General features: G+C 46.4%; 1 long non-coding RNA gene across 1 annotated transcript; it reads left to right on the forward strand.

Annotated features, from left to right (window-relative positions):
* Positions 1–1,709: 1,709 nt before the first annotated feature.
* On the forward strand, positions 1,710–10,148 carry TTTY7 (testis expressed transcript, Y-linked 7). Its single transcript, NR_001534.3, has 7 exons — positions 1,710–1,746; positions 2,688–2,849; positions 5,157–5,231; positions 5,920–6,396; positions 8,314–8,427; positions 9,401–9,656; positions 9,903–10,148. It is a non-coding gene; the product is annotated as a testis expressed transcript, Y-linked 7 (long non-coding RNA).
* The last annotated feature ends 3,720 nt before the right edge of the window (positions 10,149–13,868 follow it).

Below are 13,868 nucleotides of genomic sequence, written 5' to 3' on the forward strand. Positions count from 1 at the left end.
AGTTGTCCTGGTATCAGGAAAAAGGCTGTCTGCAAAAACCCACTGAAGCACACTAAAACTCCCGACCTCAGGGACCCTTCAGGCCATCGTGGTGGTTAGGTTCTGCTGGAGGAGGAGGCATTTTGTGACTGTGAGGTGGTCGCTAGAAACTACTCTTCAGATTCCATTCCCAAAAAAGGCTGTGTGCAAGTATTGGGTACCATGGGGATTAAAATATAGTCTGATGTGTTCTTGAGGGTGTTTTGTGTGATAGGATCATACCTGAGACCCCAGAAGTGGGTGTCATGAAAAGATGGTCGGACTCTTAACCTCACTGCCTCCCTTCATCTATGACCTTGCAGGGGCTCTCAAGGAAAGACAGAAACTACAACAAAGGCAAGTCAAAGTTGGATCACTGTTCTCACACCTCATACTGCCCTCTCTTGGGTGAAGACGAGGTTAAAACAGTGTCTCAGAGGCCATTTGTTGGGATAGCAAGCCTGAAATGGGTGTCCAGTAGTGCTGTTAAGGGATAATGTAGATTCCTCATGAAAACAAAGAAAAATCAAGTCTCACCTAAGAGAACGAGCTGCCTTGTGCTGGAGTCCAAGTAGTGTTCAGTGATTCCTGTCAGAGAACACAAAAGCCTCTTGCCACGTGCAAATATTCTCAGCCCCCACAACAAGACAATGATAGGGAGTGTAGTCAGAGTACCCAATGTCCCTTTTGCTCTCTGAAATCCCTGGCAGCTAAATAATCCCTAGCCAGAAGCAGTCTCATCTAGCAACAACCCAATGAAAGAGACCCTCCACAAGAAGAATGCCATGCAGATGAAATGAAACAGAGGCTAGATTACAAGGAAAAAGACAAACACGGCTGCCTGCTTTTCATCCTGCAGGAATTATGCAGCACCTCGATAGAAATGGGAGAACAAGAGTTTTCTTATTGGTGGCTGTAATGGGAATTTACAGTTTTAACAATCTCAGAGCTTCATAGTCATTAAAACGTGACAGTGGTTAGAAGAAAACACTCAAGCAATGGATTCTCGTGAGGGTCGTTCTCCATGAACAGGAAAATATTTGTTGTGGAAGTTGTTGAGCCAGACCCAGAACACAGGCAAGAGTTCAATGCTAACGCACCTCCACGAAAGTCTCCGTCTCTGCCAAGCCTCAGGGACTTCTCAGTATGCAACAGTCACAGTCATTGTGATGCTAGCAAGGTCTCACAATCAGTCCTGGTGCCCTGAGTCTAGCGCATGCACATTTGTGAAACAGGCTCCGGTGCCCATTTGTCAGAGCTATCAGTCTGCCTAAGCAGAGAAAAATAGTACAGGCAGAGCGAGCTTGGTATCAGAAAAAGTCGTGACTGCAAAAACCCACTGCAGGACCCTAAAAGTCTTGATATCAGGGCCCCTTCGGGATGTCTCCATGGTCAGTTTTTGTTAGAGAAGAAGGCATTTTGAGACTGTGAAGTGGTCACTGGAAACAGCTTTTCTGACTGCATTCCCAAAAGAGAATATGTGTACAAGAATCAGGTCACATGGGGATTGCAATATAGTCTGGTGTGTGGTTGAGGATTATTTGAGTGATAGAATCTTACCTGAGACCAACCCCAGAGGTGTGTATCAGCAAAAGATGGCCGAGTTCTTGACCTCACTGCCTCCCTTCATCTTGGGACTAACAGGGGATCTCTGGGAAAGGCAGTTACCATGACAAGGCAAGTACAAGGAGGAGCAGTGTCCTCACGCATTGGACTGGCCTCCAATGGGTGCAGATGAGGCTAAGACAATGTCTCCGAGGCCATCTGTGGTTATGGCAAGCCTGAAAAAGGTGAATATTAGTGCTGTCAATATTCACTGTGAAATACCCATGAAAGCAAAGAAAAATCAAGACATTTCTTAACAGAATGAGCTGCCTTGTGCTGGAGTCCAGGCAATGTTCAGTGATTCCTGTCAGATAACTGAAAACTCTCCTGCAAAGTGCAATCTTAGCCCCTCAATAAGGCAACCACCCACAACCTGGATGGCAGGAGCCTGCCCAAAGTCCCTTTTGCCCTCTGAAATCCGTGGCAGCTAAATAATCTGTGGCAAGAGGAAGTCACATCGAGAAACAGCCCAGTGAATGAGCTCCTCCACAATGAAAAGGCTGTGCAGATGAAATGAAACAGAAGCTAGATTACCAGGCAAAGGCCAGACATGGATTCTCATCCTATAGGTATTATGCAGCCATTCGATAGAAGTGGGAGAAAAAGAGTTTCTTTGTTGGCAGTGGTAATGGGAATTTTCAGTTTTAAAATATCAAGCTTCCCAGTTATTAAAACATGACACTGTTTAGAAGGAAACACTCAGGCAATGGAGTCCCATGAAGATCATTCTCTGTGAACTGGGAAAGCTTAAGTGTGGAAGTTGTTGAACCAGTCACAGGAAACTCTAGGTGGATGAGGAACATAGAAGTCAGAAAAAGAAGAAACTGTGGAGGCCACATCCCACCCAGAATCAATTCATTCCATTGCATTGGTCTCCGAATATGAAAGCCCTCAAATCGGGAGTTTGCCAGGATGGCCCCAATTTGCACCCCAAATGTCCGTTGCCCGTTGTAGTATTCCCACCTGAACACCATGCCATTGTGTATACTGCTTGTGCAATTAAGGGAATGAGGGGATGAAGTTGGAAACACGTGCTTTAAACACTGTCTTTATTTTTATTGCAGGTGTAGTTACAGGGCCCCAACCACCTTTCACCAGATTGTATACTCACCTGTATCTGACCTTATTGCTACTCACACTCTAGGTCCCAGGATAAAATCCCAACATGATGGAGGAGTGCCCCCTCATTATGTGAAGCACCTGCTGGGCTTGGAACCAAATTCAGTGTAAGTTCAAGTGGCCCTGTGGAGAGGACTGCTAGTGTCTCCCCCTGTATTTGCTGCAGGAAAATAAAACAGTGAAAAATGTCTGGTTTTTTTGTTGTGGTGTGCTCATCTTCTTTCTAGAAATGTAGATTTTTCTGCAGGGGGAGGTGATTTGGATGCCAGCGGGATTTGGCCCACCTCCCAATTCATGTGAGATTCATAATTCACAGAAAAACAAAGCACACAAAGCTTTGCAGGCTAAGCAGAGACACAGACAGGCCACCAAAATGATGGGAGGCTCAAAAAAAAAAACACTGAAGTTTTTTAGCCACATTGCTTTAAGCAGACTACATTTACAGGCTCTCACACACACACTTACAAACACACACAGAAATACACAATGCCACACACACACAGAGACATCCAACATTTGCAACACTGCCACAGAAACACACAGGCCAGCAGCTCCTGAGGCTGCGTGGTTCTGCAGGTATCTCCACCTGGGCCAGAGCAACCTTGAGGAACACAGGCAGGCTGTACCTAGAAATCACAATGGGGCAAGTCTCAAAAAGACTCACCTCTACAATATCTAGGCATATCTGAGAAATGTTGCAGATGTTTTTGGATCATTAGAGATATTGTGGTTTAGTCCTGGGACCCTTCTTGACGTTACTACAGGCTGGCTTATGTATGCCCTCTCCTACTCTCATGGGACAATCCTGTGGATAACACAGAGAAGACAGGTGAGAGTTCATGACTGATGCACCTCCACAGAAGTCTCCTTCTTTGCCAAGATGCAGGAATTTTCACTAGGCAATGGTGAAATTCATTGTGGTGCTAGTTAGAGCTCACAATCAGGCTTGGTGTCCCAAGAGTAGTGCATGCTCTACAGCATGTGCTCTACAGCATGACAGCTCTAACAGCAAGCCCTGCTGTTAGAGCTGTCAGCCTGCCTAAGCAGAGGAAAATGATACATGCAGAGCCGAAAGGTATCCAGGAAAATGCTGCCTGTGATAACCCACTCTGGGACCCTAAAAGTCTCATCCTTAGGGCACCTAGGGCCATCTTTAATGGTCCCACAGGAGGAGGATGCATTTCTGGACTGAGTTGGTCATGAAAAACTGCTCTTCTGACTCCATTCCCAAAATGGGCTGTGTGCAAGAATTGGGTCCCATGGGGATTGGAATGTAGTCTGGTGGGTTGTTTAGGGGTCTTTGAATGATAGAATCATACCTGAGACCCCAGAGATGAGTGTCAATGAAAGACGACCAGGCCCTTAACCGCAGTGCCTCACTTCATCCTGGACCTCACAGGATCTCTCTCGGGTAAGCAGGAACCACACCTAGAACTGGCCTCTCACAGGTACAGATGAGGTTGAGACAGTGTCTCAGAGGCTGTCTGTGGCGATTGCAAACCTGAAAAGGGTGTCCGGTAGTGAGTGTCACTGTTGACCCCCCATGAAAGCAAGGAAAATCAAAGATCACATGAGAGAACCAGCTGCCTTTTGCTGGAGTTCAAGCAAAGTTCAAAGATTCCTGTCAGAGAACCCTAAAGCCTCCTGCAAAGTGCAAACATCCTCATCCCACATAATGAGAACAAGACCCAGAACCTGGGATGTGGCTAGCCTACCTGAAGTCCCTTGTGCTCCATGATATCCCTGTCAGCCAATAAATTTGTGATGAGAGGCAGCCCTATCCACCAACAGCACATTAAAGACCCCCTACACAATGAGAAAGGATGTGCACATAAAATGAAACACAGACCATATTACCAGGTGGAATCCAGACACAGCTGCCTGCTTCTCATCCTACAGGAATCATGCAGCCCTTCAATAAAACTTGGAGAACAGGAGTTTCCTTGTTGGCAGCAGTAACAGGAAGTTACTGTTTTAGAATTACCGCATCGCAGCTGCCCTGTCATTGAAACATGACAGGGCAGTAAGTGTTTAGAAGGAAACACTTACTCAATGGATTCCCCCCAAGGGTCACCTTCCATGAACTGGGAAACATTTAGTGTAGAAGACATTGAGCCATACCCAATCATCCTTAGGATTATGAGGCACATGTAAGTCAGGATAGGAGTTGGCCAGGGTGGCCCCAGTTTGCACTTCAAATATTCCCTGCACGTTGGAGTACTCCCAACTAAACACCAGGCCAAGTTGTGGACTGCTTCTGCAATTAAGGAAATGTGGGAATGCTGTTTGAAGCACCTTTTGTGTCACCTGTCTTTACATTTTTGCAGGTGAAGGTGCAGGTCCCCATCCACCCCTCATCAGGTTGTATCCTCACCCCTATCTGACCTTATTGCCATTCACACTCTATGACCCAGGATGAAATCCCAAGATGATGGAGGAGTGAACCCTGACGACAGGAAGTACCTGCTCACCTATGAACAAAATTTGAGGTAAATTCATGGGGCCCTGTGGACAGGACTGCTAGTGTTTCTCCCTGGGATAGCCACAGGACACTGACACACTGAAGGATTTCTGTTCTTGGGTATGGTGTGCTGCAGCTCTTCTTTCTAGAGAGTGGCTTTTTTTGTTTGTTTGTTTGGAAGTCATTTGTTATGTGGACCTCAGCGTGTCACAGCCAGCCTCGCAATTCACTGTGGATTCAGAAAAATAAAGAACAGGGAGGTCTACAGCCCCAGAAGAGCCATACAGACAGGGCATGAAAATGTTGGAAGTCTCAAATAAAAGAAGCTCTGCAGTGTGTGACCCACCTCCCTTTAAACAAACTCCGCTTACTGGCCCGCGTGCACACACACACACACTAAAACACACAAAGCCAAAAAGCCACACCACACCTAGACATCCAACACTTGCAACATGCCCTCAGAAACAGAGCCTGGCAGCATCTGAGGCTGTGTGTTTGTGCAGAAGGCCCCACCTGGGAGAGAGCAACCCCGGCAAACACAGAGCGCTCTACCTAGAAATCACAGTTGGGAAAGTTTCAGAAAGACTCAACCCTACAACTCCCAGGCAGGCCTGAGACATCCTGCAGATACTTTTGTAGCCTTAGGGACTTTGCAGTTTATTCCTTGGGCTCTGCTTGACATTTCTGCATGCTGGCTCATGTCTGCCCTCTCCTAGGAATATGGATGTATCCTGTGGATCCCTCAGAGAAGACAGGCAAGAGTCCACCACCAAGGCACCTCTATGGAGGTCTCCTTCTTGGCCACGCAGCCAGGACTGATCTCTATGTAATGGTGACATTCATTGTGATGCTAGCCAGAGCTCATAGTCAGGCCTGGTGCCCTGAGGCGTGCATGTGCATTTGAGGGCATGCTTGCTGGCCTGGCTTTCACAGATGTTAGCCTGTGGAAGCAGAAGAAAATGGTACACATAGAGCTGGCTCGGTATCCAGAAATAGGCTGCCTGCAATAATGCACTGCGGGACCCTACAATGCTCGAAGTTAGGGCGACTTCAAGCCGTCTCCCTGGTCAGCTCCTGCAGGAGTAGGAGGCATTCAGAGACTGAGGTGGTCGCTGAAATCTGTTCTTCTGATTCCCTTTTGGAAAGAGGCTGTGTGCAAGAATCCAGTCCCATGGGGATTGGAATGTAGTCTGGTGAGTTGAGGAGGGGTCTTTGGGTGATGGAATTATACCTGAGAAACTAGAATTGGGTGCCTATGAATGATGGTTGGGCCCTTAACCTCACTGTCTCCCATCATTCTGGACCTCGCAGGGTCTCTCTATGAAGCACAGGAACCACAACAAAGGCAGGTCCAATAGGGAGCAGTGTTCTCAAACCTCGAACTGGCCTCTCACCAGTGCAGATGAGGTTGAGATAGTGTCTCTGAGGCCATCTGTGGCCATGGCAAGACAGAAAAGGATGTCCAGTAGTGCTGTTGAGGGGCACTGTGGACTTCCCAGGAAAGCAAAGAAAAATCAAGGCTCGTGTGTGAGAAAAAGATGGCTTGTGCTAGAGTCTAAGCAACATTCAAAAATTCCTGTCAGAGAACTCAAAAAACTCCTGCAAAGTGCAAGCAACACATAACAAGACACTGATCCACAACCTGGAGTGCCACCAAACCTACCCAGAGTCTGTTTTGCTCCCTGAAATCCTTGGCAGCCCATAGATCTATTGTAAGAGGCAGCCCCATCCAGCAACAGCCCAATGAAAGACCACCTCCACAATGAGAAAGGATGTGCAGATGCAATGAAACAGAGCATAGATTACCAGGCAAAAGCCAAACACAGCTGCCTGCTTCTCATCCTACAGGACTCATGCAGCACTCCGATAAAAGTTGAAGAGCAAGAGTTTCCTTGTTGTTGGCTGTAACAGGAATTTATGGTTTCAAAATTATCACAGGGGCCAAGTCACTAAAACGTGACAGTGTTTAGAAGGAAACACTGGGAAAACTTTATCGTGGAATACATGAACCAGATCCAGGAAACCCTAGGCTGACAAGAAATACGGAAGACAGGAAAAGAAGAGGCAAGTGTGGAGGCCACATCCCACCTTGTGTCTATCATTCTCACTTTCAATGGGAGCCGAGTATGAAAGCCCTCAAATTTGCAGTTTGCCAGGATGGCCCCAGTTTGCACTTCAAATGTTCTCTGCATGTTGGAGTACTCCCACCTGAACACCAGGCCATAGTGTGAACTACTTGTGTAATTAAAGAAATGTGAGGATGCAGTTGGAATCACTTTCTGTGTCATCTGTCTTCACATTTTTTGCAATTGGAAGTGTGGGACCCCATCCACTTCTCACCAGATTGCATCCTTACCCCTTCTGACCTTATTGCTATTCATGTTCTCTTTCCCTAAATGAAATCCCAAGATGATCTAGGAGTTCCTTCTCAGGACGTGGAGCATCTGCTCAGCTAGGAAGCAAATTCAAGGTAAATTCAAGGGGCTGTGAGGACAGGAATGCTAGTGTTTCCTCCGGGGATGGCCATAGAACAAGGTAATACAGAGGGATGTCCTTTCTTGGATGTGGTGTGCTCCTCTTCTTTCTAGAAGAGTAGCTTTATTTGCAGGCAGAGGTGATGTGGACTTCGGTGTGTCACAGCCAGCCTCCCACTACACTTTGGATTCATGATCCAGAGCAAAATAAAAAACGTGGAGCCCTGCAGCCCAAGCAGAGCCACACAGACAGGTGAACTAAAGGTTGGGAGACAAAAAAAAAAAAGTTGCTGCAGTGCGTTAGCCACATTCCTTTAAGCAGACACAGTGCCAAAAAAGCCACACCCATAGGCAGACATCAAAGACTCAATACTTTCACAGAAACACACAGCTCGGCAGATTCTGAGGCTGCATGGTTCTGCAGAAAGCCTTACCTGGGAGATAACAACTCTGGGCAACACAGGCGGGTTGCACCTAAAAATCACAGTGGGTAAAGTTTCATAAAGACTCACCTCTGCACACCTAGGCAGGCCTGAGGCACCCTTCAGATCCTTTTGGAACCTTACGGATTTCGCGGTTTATTCCTGGGGTTTGCTTGACGTATCTTCCAGCTGGCTCTTGTCTGCTCTCCCCTAGGATCGTGGGACTATCCTGTGGATCCCACAGAGAAGAGAGAGGACAGTCCACCACTGATGCACCTCCACAGAGGTCTCCTTCTCCGCCAAACCTCACGGAATTGTGACATTCATGGTGAGGCTAGCCAGAGCTCACAGCTTAGGCCCGGTGCCCTGAGACTAACGCATGTGCATTTGTGGGTGGCTCAGCACCTGTGTGTCAGAGGAAAATGGTACAGGCAGGGCCGGCCTGGTACTGGGGAAAAAGCTGCTCCATGTGATAACCCACTGTGGAACCCTAAAAGTCTCAAACTTAGGGCCCCTTTCCGCCGTACCTGTGATCCGGTTCCACTAGAGGAGGAGGTGTTTAGACTGAGGGGGTTGTTGAGAACTTCCTGAAAGAGGCTGTGTGCAAGATCAGGTCTCATGGGGATTGGAAGGTTGTCTGGTGAGTTGTGGAAGGTTCTTTCAGTGATAGCATCATACGTGTGACCCTACAGGTGGGTGCCAGTGAAATATGACCAGGTTCTTAACCTCACTGCCCCCACCCATCCTGAGCCTCGCAGGGGCTCTTGTTGAAAGGCAGGAACCATGACAAAGGCAAGTCCAAGGTGGAACAGTATTCTCACAGCTCTAAGTGGCCTCTCACGGTTGCAGATGAGGTTGAGACAGTGTCTCAGAGGACATCTGTGATGATTGCAATCCTGAAAAGTTTGTCAGGTAGTGCTGTTAAAGGGCACTGTGGACCCCCCATATAAGCAAAGGAAAATCAAGGCTCACAGGAGAGAACGAGCTGTCGTGTGCTGTAGTCAAAGCAACATTTAGAGATTTCTGTCAGAAGACCCAAAAGCCTCTTGCAAATTGCAAATAATCTCAGCCCCCACAAGGAAACCATGACCCCAAACCTAAAGCACAGCCAGTCTACCCAAAGTCCCTTTTGCTCTCTGAAATCCCTGGCAGCCAATAAGTCTGTGGCAAGAGGTAGCACCATCCAGTAACAGCCCAATGAAAGAGCCCTCCACAATGAAAAAAGACCAGCAGATGAAATGAAACAGAGCCTAGCTTCCCAGGCAAAAGCCAGGTACAGCTGCCTGCTTCTCCTCCTACAGGTATCAAGCAGCTGTCTGATAAAAGCTGGATAAGAAGAGTTTCCTTCTTGGCTACTGTTACAGAAATTTATGGTTTTAAAACAATCAAAGTTGCCCAGTCATTAAAACCCAATAGTATTTAGAAGAAAACACTCATGAAATGGATTCCCTTGAGGGTCGTCTTCCATTAAGTGGTAAACATTTAATGTGGAATATGTACAGCCAGACCCAAGAAACCTTAGGCTGATGAGGTACATGGATGTCAGGAAAATAAGAGGTAAGTATGGTGTCCACATCAAACCTTACATCAAATGGCCTCACTCCCATTTGGCTCCTGGTATAAAGGCCCTCAAATAGGGAGTTTGCCAGGATGGCTCCAGTTTGCACTCCAAACATTCCCTGCATATTGGGGTGCTCCCAAATGTACACCAGGCCATGGTGTGGATGGCTTGTATATTTAAGGAAATGTGGGGATGCAGTTGGAAGCACCTTCTGTAACATCTGTCATCACATTTTTTTGCAGGCGAATGTGCGGGACCCCATCCATCCCTCACCAGCTTGTATCCTCAGCTTTATCTGAAGTTAAAAGTATCTTTCCCATAATGAAATCCAAAGATGATGGAAGAGTGCCCCCTCACGGTGTGGAGGTCCTGCTTGGCTAGCAACTGAATATGAAGTAAATTCAAGGGACCCTGCGGACCGGACTGCTAGTGTTTCTAAATGGGGTGTACACTGGACAATAAAACACTGAAAGATTTCTGTTCCTGAATTTCCTGTGCTCCTCTTCTTTCTAGAAGTGTGGCTTTGTTTGTTTGTTTGTTTTGTTTTTGTGGGGGGAGGTTATTTGGACCATGGCGGGTCTCATGCCATCTCTCAATTTATGGCAGATTCATGATCTGCAGAAAAATAAAGAACACAGAACCCAGCAGCCCAAGCAGAGCCACACAGATAGGCCACAAAAAGTTTGGGAGACTCAAAAACAAAGAAGAGCTACAGTGTGTTAACCACATTTTTTAAAGCAGATTCCACTTACAGACACACACACACACACAAACACAGACAACCAACACTGGCAACACTCCCACAGAAACACACTCCCAGCAGCTTCTGAAGCTGTGTGGTTCTGCAGGAAGTCCCACTTGGGAGAGAGCAATCCTGGGGAACACAGGCATGCTGTATGTAGAAACCACAGTGGGACAAGTTTCAAAAGACCCCCTGCAACGTCTAGGCAGGCCTGAGGCATCTGCAGACCCTTTAGCATAGTTAAGGAATTCACAGATTATTCCTGGGGCCCTGCTTGATGCTTCTTCATGCTGGCTCACATCTGCCCTCTCCTAGGATCATGGGACTATCCCAAGGATTCAACAAAGAAGAGAGGCGAGAGTCTACCGTGAAGCATCTTCATGGAGGTCTCCTTCTCTGCCAAGACACAGGGACTTTTCACTAGGAAAAGTGTTATTCATTGTGAGGCTAACTGGAGCTCACAGCTCAGGGGTGGTGCCCTGAGACTAGCACATGCACATTCACGAGGCAGGCTTAGGTGCTAGGCTGTCAGAGCTAAGCAAAGGAAAATGGTACAGGCAGATCCAGCCTCATATCGGGAGAAAGGCTGCCTGCGATAACCAACTGTGGGAACCTAAATATGTCAACCTTAGCACCCCTTCCATCCATCTCCTTGGTCGGGTCCCACTGGAGGAAGAGGTGTTTTCAGACTGTTAGGTTGTCATGGAAAACTGCTCTTCTGACTTCATTCCCGAAAGAGGCTATTTGTAAGAATCAGGTCCCATAGGGATGGGAATAGAGTCTGGTGAGTTGTTGAGGGGTCCTTTTATCATGGAATCATACGTGAGACTCCATAGGTGTTTGTCAGTGAAATATGGCCAAGCCCTTGTCCCCATTGCCTCTCTTCATTCTGGGCCCCCCAGGGGCTATCTGGGAAAGGCATGAACCACAACAAATGCAAGTCCAAGTTGGATCAGAGTTCTCAAACCTCAAAATGCCCTCTCACGGAGGCAGATGACGTTGAGACATTGTCTCAGAGGTCATCTGTGGCTATTGCAAGCCTGAAAATTGTGTCCTATAGTACTGTTGGGTGGCAATGGGGACACCCCATGAAAGCACAAAAAACTCACGGCTTGCCTGAGAGAAAGAGCTGACTTTTGTTGGAGTCCTAGCAACATTCAAAGACTCCTGTCGGCATACCCAAAAGCCTCCTGAGAAGTGCAAACAATGTCAGCCTCCACAACGAGACCATGATCCACAACTTGAAATGCAGCCAGCCTACCTGAAGGCCCTTTTGCTCCCTAAAATCGCTGGCAGCCAAAAGATCTGTGGTGAGTGGCAGTTACAACCAGCAACAGCTGAAAGACCCTCTCCACAATGAGAAAGGATCTGCAGTCGAAATGAAACAGACTATAGATCACCAGGCAAAAGTCAGACATGGCTGCATGCTTCTCATCCTACAGGAATCATGCAGCCATCTGATAGAAGAGGGAGAACAAGAATTTCCTTGTTGGTGTCAGTACTGGGAATTTATGGTTTTAAATACATTACAGATGTCCAGTCATTGAATTCTGACAGTGTAATCTGTCTTCACCATTTTTACAGGTGAATGTGCAGGAACCTATCTACCCCTCACAAGATCGTATCTTCACACCTGTCTGACCTTATTGCTGCTTGTACTCTCTGTCCAAGAACAAAATCCCAAGATAATGGAGGATTGTGACAAAAAGCACCTGTTCAGCTGGGAATCAAATTCCTGGTAGATTCAAGGGGCCCTGCGGACAGGACTGAAAGTGCCTGTCCCTGGGTTTGCTGCAGAACATGAAACACTGGGAGATGTCTGTTCTAGGGTGTGGTTTGCTATTCCTCTTTCTAGAAGAGTTTTTTGTTTTGTTTTGCTTTGTTTTTTGCAGTGGTACATAATTTAATTTTGGCATGTCTAGCCAATCTCCCAATTCACTGTGGATTCATGATCCACAAAAAAAGAAAGAAAGAAAGAAAGGACATGTAATGCCACAGACCAAGAAGGGCCACACAAACAGGCCACCAAAAGTTTGACAGACTCAAAAATAAGTAGTGCTGAAGTGTAATAGCCACATTCATTTAAGCAGATTCCACTTACAGGCACACACACACACACCCACACACACAAACACAGCCACACCAACATTCGCAACACTCCCACAGAAACACACAGCCAAGCAGCTTCTGAGGCTGCATGGTTCTGCAGGAAGCTCCACCTGAAAGAGACCATCCCTAGGGAACACAGGTGGGCTGAATCTAGAAATCACAGTGGGACAAGTTTCAAAAAGACTAACCAATACAGAGAAATGCAAATCAAAACCACAATGAGATACCATCTCACACCCGTTAGAATGGCAATCATTAAAAAGTCAGGAAACAACAGTTGCTGGAGAGGATGTGGAGAAATAGGAACACTTTTACACTGTTGGTGGGACTGTAAACTAGGTCAACCATTGTGGAAGTCAGTGTGGCGATTCCTCAGGGATCTAGAACTAGAAATACCATTTGACCCAGCCATCCCATTACTGGGTATATACCCAGAGGATTATAAATCATGCTGCTATCAAGACACATGCACCTGTATGTTTAGTGCGGCATTATTCAGAATAGCAAAGACTTGGAACCAACCTAAATGTCCAACAATGATAGACTGGATTAAGAAAATGTGGCACATATACACCATGGAATACTATGCAGCCATAAAAAATGATGAGTTCATGTCCTTTGTAGGGACATGGATGAAATTGGAAATCATCATTCTCAGTAAACTATCGCAAGAACAAAAAACCAAACACCGCATATTCTCACTCATAGGTGGGAATTGAACAATGAGATCACATGGACACAGGAAGGGGAATATCACACTCTGGGGACTGTTGTGGGGTGGGGGGAGGGGTGAGGGATAGCATCGGGAGATATACCTAATGCTAGATGACGAGTTAGTGGGTGCAGCACACCAGCATGGCACATGTATACATATGTAACTAACCTGCATAATGTGCACATGTACCCTAAAACTTAAAGTATAAAAAAAAGTTCATATAATAATAGTTATGTAATGGACTCATGAGAATATAATAAAATTAACTGATAAATGTGCTTTATAATATCAAATATTAATTACATATATAATATAAAAACTGAGAAAAAAAAAGACTAACCAATACAATGTCTAAGAAGGCTTGAGGTCTTTTGCAGATCTTTTTGGATCCTTAGGGATTTCACAGTTTATTCCTGGGGCTTTGCTTGATGTTTCTTCAGGCTGGTTTGCAGCCGGCATCAATCTATTCCACTTTCATTTGGCTATAGCAATGAAAGTCCTTAAATCAGGAGTTTTCCAGGATGGCCTCAATTTGCACTCCAAATCTTCCTTGCACATTGGAGTACTCCCCCTTGAACAGTGGGGCATTGGTGTGAACTGGTTGTGCAATTAAGGGAATGTGGGGATGGAGTTAGAAGCACC

This window comes from Homo sapiens, chromosome Y, assembly GCF_000001405.40.
Source record: "Homo sapiens chromosome Y, GRCh38.p14 Primary Assembly".
NCBI lineage: Eukaryota > Metazoa > Chordata > Mammalia > Primates > Hominidae > Homo > Homo sapiens.